The sequence below is a fragment of the Homo sapiens genome, chromosome 3 (genome assembly GCF_000001405.40).
Source record: "Homo sapiens chromosome 3, GRCh38.p14 Primary Assembly".
Classification (NCBI taxonomy): Eukaryota; Metazoa; Chordata; class Mammalia; order Primates; family Hominidae; genus Homo; species Homo sapiens.
In genome coordinates, this window is record NC_000003.12 from 192,232,470 (window position 1) to 192,249,762 (window position 17,293).

Here is a 17,293-nt window from a genome sequence, read left to right on the forward strand (position 1 = left end):
CCTAGCAAGTGAAGATTAATCAATGGTGGGCTCCCATGCACGTGTATTTATTTATTTATTTATTTATTTATTTATTTTTCTTTTCCACTTTCTTTTAGGTCCAGGGGGTACATGTGCAGTTTTGTTACTTTAGTACATTGCACATCACTGGGGTTTGGTGTACACATGATTTTGTTACCCAGATAGTGGCATAGTACTTGATAGGTAGTTTTTTTGACTCTCGCCCTCCTCCTACCCTCCACCTTCAAATAGGTCCCAGTGCCTACTGTTCCATTCTTTGTATCCATATGTACTCAATGTTTAGCTCTCACTGATAAATGAGAACGTGTGATATTTGGTTTTCTGTTCCTCTATTAACCTGCTTAGGATAATGGCCTGCAGCTTCATCCATGTTGCTGCAAAGGACATGATTTTGTTATTTTTTTATGGCTGCATAGTATTCCACGACGTACATGTGCCATGTTTTCTTTATCCGGTCCACTGTTGATGGGCATCTAGGTTGATTCCATGTCTTTGCTATTGTGAATAATGCTACAGTGAACATATTACTATGTGTATCTTTTTGGTAGGATAATTTATATTCCTTTGGGTGTACATTCACTAAAGGGATTGCTGGGTTCAATGATAGCTCTGGTTTAAGTTCTTTGAGAAATCTCTGGGCTGCTTCCCACAATGGGTGAACTACTTTACATTTCCACCAGGAGTGTATAAGCATTCCCTTTTTTCCACAACCCCACCAGCATCTGTTATTTTTTGACTTTTTGATAATAGTAATTCTGACTGGTGTGAAATGGTATCTCATTGTGGTTTTTATTTACATTTCTCTAATGTTAGTGATGTTGAACATTTTTCATATGCTTGTTGGCCATGTGAATGTCTTCTTTGGAAACGTGTCCATTTGTGTCCTTTGCCTATTTTTTAATGGGGTTGTTTGGTTTTTCTTGTTGATTTGTTTAAGTTTCTTACAGATTCTGGACATTAGACCTTTGTTGGATGCATAGTTTGCAATTTTCTCCCATTCTGTAGGTTGTGTTTATGCTGTTGATGGCTTCTTTTGCTATGCAGAAGATCTTTAGTTTAATTAGGTCTCGCTTAATCCATTTTTGTTTTTGTTGCAATTACTTTTGCAGACTTTGTGATGAAACCTTTGCCAAGGTCATGTCCAGAGTGGTATTTCCTAGATTTTTTTTCTAGGATATTTATAATTTGAGGTCTTAAATTTAAGTCTTTAATTTTGAGTTGATTTTTGTATATGGTAGAAGGAAGTGGCCCAGTTTCAGTCTTCGGCATATGGCTAGCGAGTGATCCCAGCACCATTTACTGAATAGGGAGTCCTTTTCCCATTGATTGTTAATGGGCAGCTTTGTCAAAGATCACATGGTTGTAGGTGTATGGCTTTATTTCCGGGTTATCTAATATTGGTCTATGTGTCTATTTTTGTACCACTACCATGCTGTATTTTACTGTAGCCTACTACTGTATCTATTACTGTCACCCTGTAATATAGTTTGAAGTTTGATAGTGTGATGCCTCTGGCTGTGTTCATCTTGTTTAGGATTGCTTTGGCTATTCCAGCTCTTTTTTAGGTTCATATGAATTTTAGAATTTTTTTTCTAATGCTGTGAAAAATGACATTGATTGATAAGAATGGTATTGAATCTGTAAATTACTTTGGGAAGTATGATCATTTTAGCAGTATTGATTCTTCCTGTCCATGGGCATTGAATGTTTTTCTTTTTGTTTGTGTCATCTCTGATTTCTTTCAGCAGTTTCTGCAATTCTCATAGAGTACTTTCCCCTCCCTGGTTAGCTGTCTTCCTAGGTACTTGATTCCTTTTGTGGCTATTGTGAATGGGATCAAATTCTTGATTTGGCTGCCAGCTATTGTTGAGCTACTAATTGTTGTACATTTATTTTGCATCCTGAAACTTTACTGAAGTTGTTTGTCAGTTCTATGAGCTTTTGGATGGAGACTATGAGGTTTTCTAGGTATAGAATCATATCATCTGCAAAGGGAGATAATTTGACTCCCTCTCTTCCTATTTGGATACCTTTTATTTATTTCTCATGCCTGATTGTTCTGGGTAGGAATTCCAGTACAATGTTGAATAGGAGTGGTGAGAGTGGGCATCTTTGTCTTCTTCCAGTTGTCAGGCGGAATGCTTCCAGCTTTTGTCCCTCCAGTATGATGCTGGCCATGGGTTTGTCAAGATGATTCTTATTATTTTGAGGTATGGTCTTTCAATGGTTAGTTTGTTGAGAGTTTTTAAAACAAAGGGATGTGATGTTGAATTTTATTAGAAGCCTTTTCTGTGTCTATTGAGATGATCATGTAATTTTTGCCTTTAGCTCTGTTTATGTGATGAATCGCATTTATTGATATTCATATGATGAGCCAATCTTACATCCCAGGACTAAAGCCTGCTTTATTGTGGTGGATTAGCTGTTTCATGTGCTGCTGGATTTGGTTTGCTGATATTTTGTTGAAGATTTTTATATCTATGTTCATCAAGGATATTAGCCTGAAGTTTTCTTTTTCCCTCGTGTCTCTGCCAGGTTTTGGTATCAGAATGATGCTGGCCTCATAGAATGAGTTAGGCAGGAGTCCCTCCTCCTTTATTTTATGGTATAATGTCAGTAAAATTGGTACCAGATCTTCTTTATACATCTGGTAAAATTTGGCTGTGAGTCCATCTGGTTCAGGGTATTTTTTAGTTTGTATGTTGTTTATTACTGATTCAATTTCAGAACTCGTTATTGGCCTGTTCAGGATTTCAATTTATTCCTGATTCAATCTTCGGAGGTTGTATGTTTTCAGGAATTTATCAATTTCTTCTAGATTTCTGGTTGTTTTTTTGAGACGGAGTCTCCCTGGGTCGCCAGGCTACAATGCAGTGGCGCAATCTTGGCTCACTGCAACCTCCACCTCCCAGGTTCAAATGATTCTCCTGCCTTAGCCTCCTGAGTAGCTCTTTCCATTTCTTTCAGGAATGACAGGTGCATGCCACCACACCCAGCTAATTTTTGTGTTTTTAGCAGAGATGGGGTTTCACCATGTTGGCCAGGATGGTCTCGATCTCTTGACCTTGTGATCTGCTTGCCTCAGCCTCCCAAAGTGCTGGGATTACAGGCGTGAGCCACTGCACTTGGCCTCTTCTAGGTGTTTTAGTTGGTGTGCAGAGAGGTGTTCATAATAGTCTCCGGGGAATTTTTGTACCTCTGTGGGGTCAGTAGTAATGTCACCTTTGTCATTTCTGATTGTGTTTATTTGGATATTCTTTCATTTTTATTAATCTACCAAGTGGTCTATCAATCTTACTTATCCATTCAAAGAACCAGCTTTTGGGCTTGTTCATCTTTTATATGAATTTTCATGTCTTAATTTCATTCAGTTCATCTCTGATTTTGGATATTTCTTTTCTTCTGCTAGCTTTGGGGTTGGGTTACTCTTGTGTTTCTAACTCCTCTAGTTGTAATGTTAGGTTGTTAATTTCAGATCTTTCTAACTGCTTGATGTAGGCATTTCATGCTATAAACTTTCCTCTTAGCACTTCTTTAGCTATGTCCCAGAGATTCTGTTTGTTGTATCTCTATTTTCATCAGTTTCAAAGAAATTTTTGATGTCTGCCTTAATTGCATTCTTCACACAAAAGTCATTCAGGGGCAGGTTGTTTAATTTCCATGTAATTGTATGGTTTTGAGAGATTTTCTTGGTATTGATTTCTATTCTTATTTTGCTGTGTTCTGAGAGTGTAGCTTGTATGATGTCATTTTTTTTTGAATTTATAGAGAATTGCTATATGGCCAAGCATGTGGCCAGTCTAAGTGTAAGCGCCATGTGCTGATGAGAATAATGTACATTCTGTTGTTGTTAGATACAGTATTCTCTAGATGTCTCCGAATTCCATTTGATAAGTGTGGAGTTTACATTTGATATATCTTTGTTAGCTTTCTGCCTTCATGATCTGTCTAATACTGTCACTCGGGTGTTGAAGTCTGCCACTATTATTGTTTGATTATCTAAGTCTCTTTATAGGTCTGCAGGAACTTTTATGAATCTTAGTGTTCCAGTGTTGGGTGCATACATATTTAGTATAGTTTTCATGTTGAATTGAACCCTTTATCATTATGAAATTCCCTTATTTGTCCCTTTTGATCACTGTTGGCTTAAAGTCTGTTTTATCTGAAATAATAATAGCCACACCTGCTCTTTCTTGCTCTCCCTTTGCTTGATCTTTCTCCATCCCTTTACTTTGAGCATATGGATGTCATTGCATGTGAGATGGATCTACAGTTGGGTCTTGCTTTTTTATACAACATGACACTCTGTGTCTTTTAAGTAGGGGCATTTAGTACCTTTACATTCAAGGCTAATATTGATATGTGAGGATTTGATCCTGTCCTCATGTTGTTAGCTGGTTATTATGTAGACTTAATTGTATAGTTACTTTATAGTGTCAGTGGGCTATGTACATATGTGTGTTTTTGTGGTGGCAGGTAATCATCTCCTGTGTTTATATTTAGCACTCTTTTAAGAATCTCTTATAAGGCAAGTCTGGTGGTAACAAATTCCCTTAGTGTTTGCTTGTCTGAAAAAGATTTTATTTCTCCTCCATTTAAGAAGTTTGGTTTGTCTGAATATGAAATTATTGGCTGAAATTTCTTTTCTTTAAAGATGCTGAATATAGGACCCTGATCTCTTCTGGCTCATAAGGGTTCTGCTGAAAAGTGCACTATAGCCTGGCGGAGTTCCCTTTGTACATAACCTGCCCCTTATTTCTAGCTGTCTTTAAGATTTTTTTCTTCCACATTGGTTTCGAAGAATCTGATGACTACGTGTCTTGGGGATGGTCATCTTGTATAGTATTTTGCAGGGGTTCTCTGAATTTCCTGAATTTGCATGTTGATCACTCCAGCAAGGTTGGGGAAATTTTCATGACCAATATTCTCAAATATGTTTTCCAAGTTGCTTGTTCTCTTTCCATCTCTTTCAGGAATGACAACGAGTTACAGGTTTGGTCTCCTTACATAATCTCATATTTCTCAGAGCTTTTGTTCATTTTTCAAATTCTTTTTTATTTTTGTCTGCCTGCATTGATTCCAAAAAACAGTCTTCGAGTTCTGAGACTTTTTTCCCTCAGTTTGATCTATTCAGTTATTAATGCCTCCAATTGCATTATAAAATTTCTGGAGTCAATTTTTCATCTCCAGACATTCAGTTTGTTTCTTTCTTAAAATGGATGTGTACTCTTTCAACTCTTGGACTGTTTCACCGTGTTCTTGGGATTGGGTTTCAACCTTCTCCTGTAACTATATGTGGTTCCTTGTCATTCAGCTCCTGAATTCTGTATCTGTAATTTCAGCAATTTCATTCTGGTTAAGAACCATTGCTGGGGAGCAAGTTGTAGTCATTTAGACTCAAGAAGACACTCTGGCTTTAAGAATCATTAGAGTTCTTGCACTAGTTCTTATCTGTGTGGACTGATGCTCCTTTGGTATTTGAAGCTGCTGTCTTTTGGATGGGGCTTTTTGCTTTTCTATTATTTGATGCTCTTGAGGTTTTGACTATGGTATAAATTGGGTTTCATGGATTGGTTTCAATTCTGAATGCTTTTCTGGAGCCAAAGCTCACCTCAGCACTCTTGGGCTGCATGCTGTAATCCTGGGGGATGGGGGATTAGTCCTGTGGCTTTGCTCTCTGGCCCCTTGAGATTAAGCACCTGCTGTGCTGGAGGTGCTGAGGTGTTCCCAGTTCACTTGCAACAACACTCTGGCAGGGGCTGCTGGCAAAATTGCTCCAGTGGGGCAGTGGGAGTCTCCACACACATGTGCACCAATGGAGGAGGCTGCAGGCGAGTACGCATCAGTAGGGGGAGGCTGAGGGTGGGTGTGCACTGGCAGGGAAAGACTATGGGCAGGTATGCACTGACAGGGGGAGGATGCAAGCAGGTACGTGCTGGCAGGGGAGGTCATGGTTGGAGTGTGCCAGCAGGGGGAGACAATGGGTGGATGCATAATGGTAGGGGTCCACCAGGTCGTTTTCTTACTCCAAGTTTCAGTTTTGTTAACCTGTACTATAAAATGACTGAACTGTAATTTTTAAAGTTTTCTTAAGCAGAAAGACTTCAATTATTTTATTTGATGTGCCACTGGACAGACTTGTAAATGGAAGCTCAAGGAATTCAGTGAGTTGTCTCTGGAAAAGAGCAGAGCAGGTAATCCCAGGCTTTTGTGTTACATGTATATTGCTCTTTCCATCATCTTATGGCTGCTTCAAAGGTTCCTCACAGGTCCAAAGTTTACTCTAACTCAGTGAATTCCTTTGGTCATTCCACATGTAATCCTCCTGGAGCACATTATCAATGGCAATCTTTGGACAGTGCTAGGCCTATCAATGGTGAACCTGGGATGGCTGAAGCTCATGCTGAGTCAAGTCTATACTAATCTAATTCTCCCAAATGTGATGGGAAGTGCATTTTCCACAAACAGTACTCATCTTGGAAAGTAGACCAGCATCCTAATAAAAGCAGAGATTTTAGTGTAATACAGGTTAACATTCCAATCCCACAGAATGGGCTTGCTTAGTGTATAACTTTTCCTAGTCTTCATACTTACGAAAAGACATGAGGTCTATGTGTAACATGTAGAAGTGTACATGGCCCAAAATATAAATTGAGCCCAAAAAATATCTGCAGGATACATAAAAAGCTAGCTCTTTTCTATTCTCTATTTGGTTTGCATACAAATGGTAGCATCCATGCACTTTAATGTTATTCAAAATGAACAATAGAAAAATCCATGGAAACTTGTCCATTTTGTTTGCATTGATGTTTCCAGAACTACTGATTTTGATAGATTTGTTTTTCCATTAAAGAAGTAGGAACAAATCCCTGATCTCTTACACTGAATTGTGGTGAACAGAGTAAGATGGGAAATTGCTCTTTTAATACCAAATTGGGACAAAGCCGTTAATTATGTGAAGCTTATTCTAACAATAGCTCTTCAAGTGTGTGATGGACCAGGGGCCCCCAACTCCTGGGCCACAGACTGGTACTGGTCTGTGGCCTGTTAGGAACTGGTCACACAGCAAGAGGTGAGCAGCGGGTGAGTGAGCACTACTGCCTGAGCTCTGCCTCTTCCTGTCAGATCAGCAGTGGCATTAGATTCTCATAGGAGCATGAACCCTATTGTGAACTGTGCATATGAGGGATCTAGGCTGAGCGCTGTTGGTGAGAATCTAACCAATGCCTGTAAATCTGAGATGAAACAGTTTCATCTGGAAACCATCTCCAACCCCCAACTAGTCTGTGGAAAAATTGCGTTCCAAGAAACTGGTTTCTGGTGCCAAGAAGGTTGGGGACTGTTGTGATAGACTACTAATCCTGCTAATGGGGTAACCCAAGTCACAACTAAGTTTAAGGTTGGAAAGCCCCAGTAAATATCTGAGGTCTTAGTGAAACAGGGTAAGATGAAAGGTGAGAAAAAGTTGTATTAGACACTATGGGTGCAGGGGGGAAGATCCCAGAAATAATAGTCTTTGAATGAAAGTCCAAGATATGACCTTCTTGGTAGAGAAAAACTCAACCAGGAAAGTTGTCTTATACATTTTTCATAGATGTTGTGCATGTTGAATCCCCACCCTTATGGTAATCCATTAGTATGCTGAAGGCTCAGAGGAAATAGTACAAAACAGATGCATTCATGCTTCATTTTTCCATATGTTTGTTATTCAACACCACACGATGACTGATAGATCCCATATCTAATTACCATATACTGGAGAGCTTTCTGGATTTTTCCAGCCCAGCAGTGACAATAATTGCCATTCAAGAAAAGATAAATCAATGTTATAATAATAATACAATGACTTATCTGATTTCCCCTGTTATTTTTTTTGGAATATCAACTTTTCACTGAATTTAAGATGATTTTCTGATAAAATTATTATTTTTTTGCTCTGAAAACCAATATAAATATGTTTATCTGCTACAATAAGAATGATAACATGCAACAATAAATGTAAACTTAGCTGTTATATGCAAAAGATTTTGCTAGTTGCAAGAAATAAAAAGACATCAGAAGTAGTTGTTGACTTCAAACTGCTCAGAATCTGGTAAAATAGATGACCTAGTGCACAGTGATTATCTCACCCAATGTCCCATTATCACCCAGCTGTATTCTGTTCCTTTTCCAGTCCTCATGCTCTAATTATTTAAGACTCAGCTTAAATCCTATAAATATCTTGGTCTGATATTTTGTCAGAAGACATATCTCCCCCCAATTTCTCAGAGGTCTTTATCTCTACTTTGTATGTTATTTGTAATTTTTTATTTTATGATACTATCATGCTTTTCACCATAACAAAGCAAAGCCTCTATTTTTTCTTAAGTTGTATCTTATTAAAGCAACTAACCTAAAGGGTAAGGAAAGGACTTCTTTGAGCTTTCAGGAAATAAGAACAAGCCAATTACGAGGAGGGAAAAAATAAAGCTGACCTTAGATATCTACACAGCAACATTTAATTCTAGAATACAGTGAATCAATGCCCACAAAATATTCAAGGAAAGAAAAATATAATCCAAGTCTTTAATATCTAGCCACAGTGTTCAAGTACAAATACAAACAAAACCCAATTTTTAACATGTAAGAATTCAGGGAATACTATTCCCATGAGTTCTTGCTGAAGAAGAATTTCACTGAACAGAAAGATATTTTTGGAAAGACTATATAAAAAGATTAGTACTGAAATTTGAATCTATACATTTGTTGAACAATGATTTAAACATATGCAAGGATTAAGGTGACAGAAGAGAATGTAAATGTTAAATGACTGGGTGGGAGAGTGATAAGTATGGTAATTTTCTCACTTATAATACCAGGAGTTAAAGGATATTTTCAATACTTCAAAATAAGTAATGTGAATATAAATGTATTTAATATCTCAAAGGAAAACACTACAAAGATTATGTAATTAACCGAAATCAAGGGGATAAGAGGAAAAAGCAGTATAAAGAAAAACAAACATACTAATTCCATCACTGATTATAGTGGAGAATCAAAAACAGTTTGAAGAAACAGGGGATTTAGGGTATAAAAATTATATTAGATCAAGAATACCAACTTTCTAATGAGCAGAAGCAGCACTCTCTCTCTCTCCAAAGTAGGTAAAAAGGAAATACAAAAAGCTTTAAAGATGGGAAAGGATAACATGAAATTCTATGCTAGAATTAAAATTAAATACATCTCCCCTATTGATAGTTCCATGAGGGAAAGGATGTCTGCTTGTTCTGTCCATTGCTGTGTCCCGAGCACCTGGAACATTGCCTGGCTCATGACTGCAGGCAAAAATTTCTTTAAGGAATGAAATTCATACGGCTAAATTCACATAATAAAGAAAAAGGCTTTCAAGTTACTTCAAATAACAAAACCAACTGTTCTTGAGTATATCTTCAATCAAAAAAGAGATCAAGACCAAAATTACAAGACTTTTAGAGACAAATAATAAAAATACGTTGCATCAGTATTTATGGGGTACAGCTGAGGCAGTGTTCAGAAAAACAAATCACTGCATTAAATATTTATGTAAGGGAACAAGTAAAAAGAAAAACACATTAAGCATTCATATTCAGAAATTAGTTAAAAATCATGAAACCTAAGGAAAGTAGAAGGAAGAATATTGCAATGATTAAAATAAATTGATGAATTAGAAACAAAAGAGTAGGACTAGTAAATAAATACAAAAGTAGGTTCTTTGAAAAAATATAATAATATAAATAAGTTTTAGCTGCCAGGATATTTCCACTTCGGTACTTAAGGAAGATAATTTTTGTTGTGGGAGCTGTCCTGTTCATTATGGGATGAGCAGCATCCCTAGCCAGATGCCAGTAGCCCTCCCCTTCCTAGTTCTAGCAACCAAAAGTGTTTATGAACATTGCCAATTTTCCCCTTGGGGGTATCAAAATTGTTCCAATTGAGAACCAAATTGTTCCAGTTGAGAACCACTGAAGTAGCCCAGTCAAAAAGGAAAGGAAGAAGCACAAACACCCAATATAAGAAATAATAAGCAAGTAATGATCAGTCAGGGAAAATTTTAAAAATCAAAGGCTATTTTAATAAACTCTACAAATTAATATGAAACCTGAATATAAAGCATAATATTATATTAAAGTAAAATTAACAAAAATAGAAAATGTAATATATGAATTACCAAAGGAGGAAACTTGCCAAAATCCAATCATCTCAAAAAAAAGTTAAAACCAGTCCTTACTACAATGCTATTTGACCCTTCCAGATACACTTGGCCATATAATTTAGTAAAAGAAAATAACCTTAGAAAAAGATTAAGAAGACAAAAATTAGTATTATTGTTTACAGGTGCAATTTAATTTTGCTGATATTATTGTTTACCTGGAAAGAAAAGTATATTTTACTGAGCAACTATGAAAAATAGTAAGAAAATTTAGTCAGTTAGCTCAGTATAAAATTAAAAGACAGAAATCATTTTCCTTTATGTATACAAATAACCTCTATTATATAGAAGATCATGGTGGAAAAACACATAATATTCAGGAATAATACTGATAGTTAATTTTCAGGATCTATATTTAGAGACTATCAAAATACTTCTGAGGTAATCAAAACAATACCAGGTACTTAAACAGGCAGATTCAACTTCATAAAGATGTTAACCTTAAATATATCTATAAATAAAATACCAAAAGAAAATCTGAGAGAACTGAAAAACCTAATGCTAACATTAATATAGAAAACAAAATCAGAAAGAATAACTAGGATGATCATGAAAACGAAGAGCAATTTGGTGTGGGATGTGGAGATTAAAAGAAGAGGTAGACTTGCTGTTATTAAAAAATAAAGTAAAGCTACAATAATTAAATCAGTGTGTTATTGGCACATGAATAAACAGTCATAAAATTGGAACAGCCTGGGTAGTACAGAAGTCCAAATAAGTAAAGCATATATGTATATTCAAGGTAGCATTTAACACTAAGGGGAAAAAGATAGTTTATTTAAAATATTGTGGTAAAACATTAGGGCAGCTTTATGGAAAAAAAAAAAAAACTCAAGTAAATTCCCTTTACAGTATATCCAACTTAAGCATAAAATTTTAAACAATAAATTTACTTCAGGCATTTTAATGACTTTAAATGACAACGGAATAGGAAGGTATTCCTCAGTAGGAGATTTTAAAATCTCAGAAACTATAAAAAAAAGATTAATAAAATGTTAACATCATTATGTTGTTGAGTCTGTCAAACACACGGTACTTATGAAAATGCAAAAATTTTTGTATTACTTAAAATGCCATAAACCAATCAAAAGGTAAAAAGTGGGAAGCATTTGCAAGGGCTAACTTTCCGAATATAAAAGGGTTCCTTCAGAAAGATAAGTGAAAGACCAAGATCCAAATAAGAACAAAAGCAAGGATAGGTGACAAGTAAAACAAAATTAAAATAAAATCAGCTATTGGCTATTCTCCTACAATATGCTAAAACCACATATCATAAATAAAGTAAAAATTAAAACTATGATGAATAGAATTTTTTATCCATCATATTTTTTAAAATTACATAACTCACTGTGCTAGTGAAAGTGCAGAAAAATTGGCACTGTCGTGTCATATATTTCTTTATTGAGTGTAAATACTATATCTAGGGAGATCGATTTGGCATTATCTAGCAAACTTACAAATATTCTGCTTTCTGCTCTACTTTTAGAAATTTACTCTGCAGATATACTATAAAATGTGCAGAATACTGATGTATAACTATATTATTTATAATAGCAAAATATTGAGGCAAACTTTCAGAAATATGGGACTGATGAAATCACGTATGTCACAGTCTATGGTATAATACCACATAGCTTTTAAAAAATACAGAAACTCCCTGTGTACTGATTCGGAATAATCTCCAAGAAATATTAAGTGGAAAGAGCAAAATGGAGTGATAGTGTGGACAGTGGCTATCTTTTCTAACAAAGAGAGGTAAATAGACATATCTACTTATATGGGTATAAGCAAAAAGTAATAATAATAATAACTCCAGCTGACAAATAAGAAAATTGTAATATTGATAGCCTATAGAAAAGTGGCTATAGATAGGCAGAATGAGATTGTTCAATTTATCTTGTATCTTATGGTTGTGAGTTAAGTGAATGTATTATCTGTTCAAAGGGAAATAAATTGTTTCAAAATAGTTGACAAAAGATTATTATGATAAACCTGAAAGAAGATATGCACAGTATGATCAACAAATGCTGATTTTGAAATCCAGAATACTATCCCACATGAGTCATATTTTGTTAATTTAAAATTCATGTTGACAGATGAACACAACAGATGAAGCTATTAATGCAGCTTTACCTTACTGACCCAGAGCCCTTCGAGTCTGAGTTTCCTCTGGACCAAGTGGTTATCTTCTCTATACAGACTGGGGATTCTATCTCCCAAGCATGCAATTAACTGCCCCTTTTGAATATTCTATTCCAAGACTCATTGCAACTATGATACTCTTTTCTTTTAAGTGTGAGCCTCAGAAACAATTAAGCAAGAAATAATCGTGCATTTGCATAAGCCCAACTTACTGTGTTTTTTTGTTAGTTTGTTTGCTTGGGACTTTCTCTGAGAAGCAGGAACTCGTTTTGTCATCCAGGCTGGAGTGCAGTGGCATGATCAAATCTCACTGCAGCCTTGAACTCCTGGGCTCAAGCAATCCTCTCATCTCAGCCTCCCAGGTAGCTAAGACCATGAGCACATGACACCATGCCCGGCAATTTTATTTTGTTTTATTTATTTATTTATTTATTTTTCAGAAAAATGGGGTCTCGCTATTTTACCCAGGCTGGTCTCAAACTCCTGGCCTCAAGTTATCCTCCTGCCTTGGCCTCCCAAAATGCTGGGATTACAGGTGTGAGCCCCCATGCCCGGCCAAGGACTTACTGTTTACTCAGCAAACATTTATTGGGCATCAATTAGCTATTGGCATAATCATAACACTTCCTCCTACATGTGAGCATCAGAAATATTTAATCAGGAAGTAATTATGCATTTGCATAAGCACAATTTACTCTTTAGTCAATGAATATTTAATGGCCATCAATTACATGCCAGGTAGCATGGAAGGTACTGGAAACAGAGAAAGACATGTTCCTTGCCCTTAAATAATTTGCATGGTAATCATTATTCAGGGAGACAAGAATATAATAGAATTTAATACAATTTGGTCCATGTTAGAATAGTAGCCACAAATCATAAGAATGGCAAGAGGCTAGGAGAAGGAGGCAGTAACAATGCCTGGGGAGACTCAGAGAGGGCTTTACAAAACAGAGGAAGTTTTACTTCTACTAGACTGTCTAGAATTATAAGTGACAGACAACAGAGTCCTTGCTTTTTCGGACCCTAATGCTAAAAGACTGAATAAATGTAATAGTAAAAAAGTGATTAGTAGGACAATTAAGTTTTAAGTTCACATTAAACTTTAAAAAACACTTAAAAACTTAAAAAACATTAAAATTAAAATGGAATTCCTAGTTCGTTGATATCTCATCACATTACAAAATTCTGTTTTTAATAACATCAGAACATAAACATAACTTCAAAACATTTACCGGAAATAATAGCTTTAGTTTTAAAATGCTTCCTCCAAAAGCATGTTCCAATTCAAGGCAAGGCTCATAAACTAAATGAATTTTAAAATTTATATTTTAGAATTATAATTACATACTTGATTACATATTTAGTATGAGTTTATAAAAAAAGAAAGCAAAAGGATCACTGTGACAACAGGTGACATCAAGAACCACTTGGAACAATAAAAGGGAAAGAAATTAATCTTTAACATAAGTGGAGTAAATATAAATGGGCCAAACATTATACTGAATTTAGTGGTGCTGCCCATGGAATTCTGGAAGTCTTAAGATGTTGTAGATAGATATACACTTTCCTTGACTCAAGATAGCATAAGTACTTATTTTTTCAGATAGTATGCAGGCTTTTCCAGGTAGGACCTGGTTCTAATTGACATAAATATAAAAGTGATAAGAAAGCCTAAAGCTGCCGGGTGTGGTGGCTCACTCCTGTAATCCCAGAACTTTGGGAGACCGAGGTGGGTGGATCACCTGAGGTCAGGAGTTCTAGACCAGCCTGGACAACATGGCGAAACCCCATCTCTACTGAAAACACAAAAAATTAGCCAGGTGCAGTGGTGGACGCCTGTAATCCCAGCTACTCAGAAGGCTGAGGCAGGAGAATCGCTTGAACCCGGGAAGCAGAGATTGCAGTGAGCCAAGATTGTGCCACTGTACTCCAGCCTGGGTGACAAGAGTGAAACTCCGTCAAAAAAAAAAAAAAAGGAGAGAGAGAGAGGAAAGAGAGAGAGAGAGAAAGAAAGAGAGAGAAAGAGAGAGGAAGAAAGAAGAAAGAAAGAGAAAAAGAAAGAAAGAAAGAAGGAAAGAAAGAAAAAGAAAAGGAAAGAGAGGGAGGGAGAAAAGGCAGGGAAGGAAGGGAGAGAAAGAAAGAAAGAAGGAAGGGAGGGAGGGAAGGAAAGAAGGAAGGAAGGAAGGAAGGAAGGAAGGAAGGAAGGAAGGAAGGAAGGAAGGAAGGAAGGAAGGAAGGAATATCCTAAAGCAACTCTCAGGAAACAAAACAGAATGTTGAGGAAAGGAGACTGGTGATGTGCAATGGTGCTAAGACTTGCTGATGGGAAACATTTGTGTAGCACAAACCCAAATCTGTAGGCATGCTTGCAGCCTAATCCCAAATAGTCAACAAGCAGATGCACTCATCTGCCATCCCCAGAGACTTCAGCACTGAAGAGTTGTTTCGTCACTGTAGAGTATCAAATTGGTGAGTAATTTTGCCCTTCTACCTGGCTAAAAAAACATTCATTCAGTTTCTACTAGCTTAAAGGTCACTGTATTTTGCAGTCACCCATGCATGCAATCAGATATGGCTCAATGGACTCTGCTCACCTCACAATCATGAATACAATATGATTTAAAGGTCAGCCAACTTGCATTCTGTCAAAAGAGCATAAGGAGAGAATTTCAGCTATGTGGGTCTATATGATGGCACATATTTTGCTGACAGTTTTCTGAATCCACACCTAGCGATCACTGGCAGGAGATGACAGTTCAAGGTCAATAATTTAATAAATCATTTCATTATATAGTTATTGATTCTACCACTTTTAATAAGGAATGTATGCAAAATTGAAGACGTTAAGTCTGGGAAAGATTTATAGAAAAAACAGTCAACAGCTTCTGTGTGGCTTCCAGGAGAGATGAAGGCCAAAAGAGTGAGGTAGAATTTTGCTCTAAATAAGACTTTACCAATAATAAGGGATATTGAAAATGAAAAGTATTTAGCTTCTGAAAGTAGTGTTCCTGACATATGGTTAAGCCAGATGGTGGATTAACACATATTGTAATGTCTAAAAAATTAGGACTTTTTAAATTGGGGCCCACATACTGCTTAAGAAATTGAGCTATCTGACCCTTCAAGACTTTCTTATTTTATTCTCTATGATCAGCCATGAGAGTTCTAAAGGGGGAATAAATGGTTCAGCAAATTTTATCTTGTTCCAATATACTATCTAGAATCAACGGAACCAAACTATGAACATCTACTTCCTCTAGGACAAATTTCATCAAACCATTAGTTATAATACACATGTTCAAAGGAGCTGAGATAAAAATTACAAATGGCAAATTAATAAAACAGCCATTAAGGAACTTGGACATAGTTAAAGTGTACATTGAACTGAAACATGACCATGGAGAACAACCTTGACAATATGTTATTTGAAGCTATTTTCAGATGTATAGATGTGGCCCAATATGGCACTTTTCATATTCTCCATGCAGCTGCTTTCACCTATCCTGACATCTTCAAGTTATCTGAATTTAAGAAGTATCACTATTCATGTTGCACAATTACTAACACTGAATATACTTATCACATTCTCTGGCATGTGGCTTTAAGCTATCCTGGGTATTCAGACAGTTAAGATTCTTGGATGATCCCAAAGTTTCCCTTTAATTATTTGTAGCAGTCTTCTGGACTAATAATACTTATAAAACCTTGGGAATAGCCTATGCAACATAGTGAGACCCCGTCTCTACAAAAAATAAAAACAAAAAATTAGCCAGGTGTGATGGTACACGCCTGTGGTCCCAGCTACTCATGAGACTGAGGCGGGAGGATGACTTCTGCCCCGGGGGGATCCAGGCAGCAGTGAGCGGTGATTACACTACTGCATTCCAGCCTGGGCAACAGAGAGAGACCCTGTCTCAAAATAAATACACAAATATATAAAATCCTAAGAGTTAATTCTTTAGAAAGCATTTTATTTTAGCTTAACACAATTAATTTGATCTATCAGAAAACCCTACCTGCTTGATGAGCCATATTTACTATCATCACTCTCTGTCTACCATTACAATCAGTGATTATTGATTGGGTTAGTGAAGAGTTTTGAATAGTTTTAACAACTGTTTTGGCGCTCAAATTGAGACTTGATTAACAAATGCAAAACTAGTCAACCATGACTAAAATGAAACTGCTTCAATAATTACATAATGAAGATGGTAGCGAGTTTTTATTATAAGGGCTATGTAAATGCAGCCCACTGTACTATTATAATATTAATCACAAGTTTTTTGAGGAAAGGTATGTGATATAACTCCCATCCAAGGTCCCTAGCAGAATGTCTTTCACAAAGCAGATGTTCATTAAATGACAGCTGAATAATAAAACACTATTATAGAGAACTCAAGTATGAATCTAGTATTTCATTTTAAAAACTTGTCTGATTATACTTACATATACAATACTGCATGCAGCAGCTACTCGATAAACGTGTGTAAAAGATTAAGTTTGGTCAAACAATTGCTCTGAATCAAATTTGTGATATAATTCCTGACTCAGCCCCCACAGAATATTTAAAATATAGTAATACAGTAAAATAATTTTTCCACCACTTCATGAACAGTCAGTAGGGTCTTGAATGCTACCTTTCAATATGCAATATGGTGGCCTTAGGAAGAGAGGAGTTTTTTTTTTCTCAACACGTAGAATCAGGGTCTTAAGAATGACTTTGTGAAAACTCCAGCTTTCGTTGCTAGGGAACATTGATTGTTTTCCATGGTGCTTGTAAAGGCATTATTTGCCCTGATTCTTTTGATGAGTTGAGACTGTTCACATAGTAACTTCAGAATGGAAAGAACAAACCCCTCTCTTCCTCTGGTGGCACTTTGCCTACTGTCAGACTACAAA

The 17,293-nt window shown here is 36.3% G+C and overlaps 1 protein-coding gene and 1 long non-coding RNA gene across 8 annotated transcripts in view; one reads left to right on the plus strand and one right to left on the minus strand.

Moving 5' to 3' along the window:
• The window catches only part of FGF12 (fibroblast growth factor 12), a 588,152-nt gene that overhangs the window by 93,080 nt on the left and 477,779 nt on the right, over window positions 1–17,293 (minus strand). The gene's annotated exons all lie outside the window — the stretch shown is intronic.
• The window catches only part of FGF12-AS1 (FGF12 antisense RNA 1), a 44,468-nt gene continuing 33,335 nt past the window's right edge, over window positions 6,161–17,293 (plus strand). The window contains exon 1 of the long non-coding RNA NR_046596.1: window positions 6,161–6,215. This is a non-coding gene — a long non-coding RNA (FGF12 antisense RNA 1). The remainder of the gene's footprint in view (window positions 6,216–17,293) is intronic.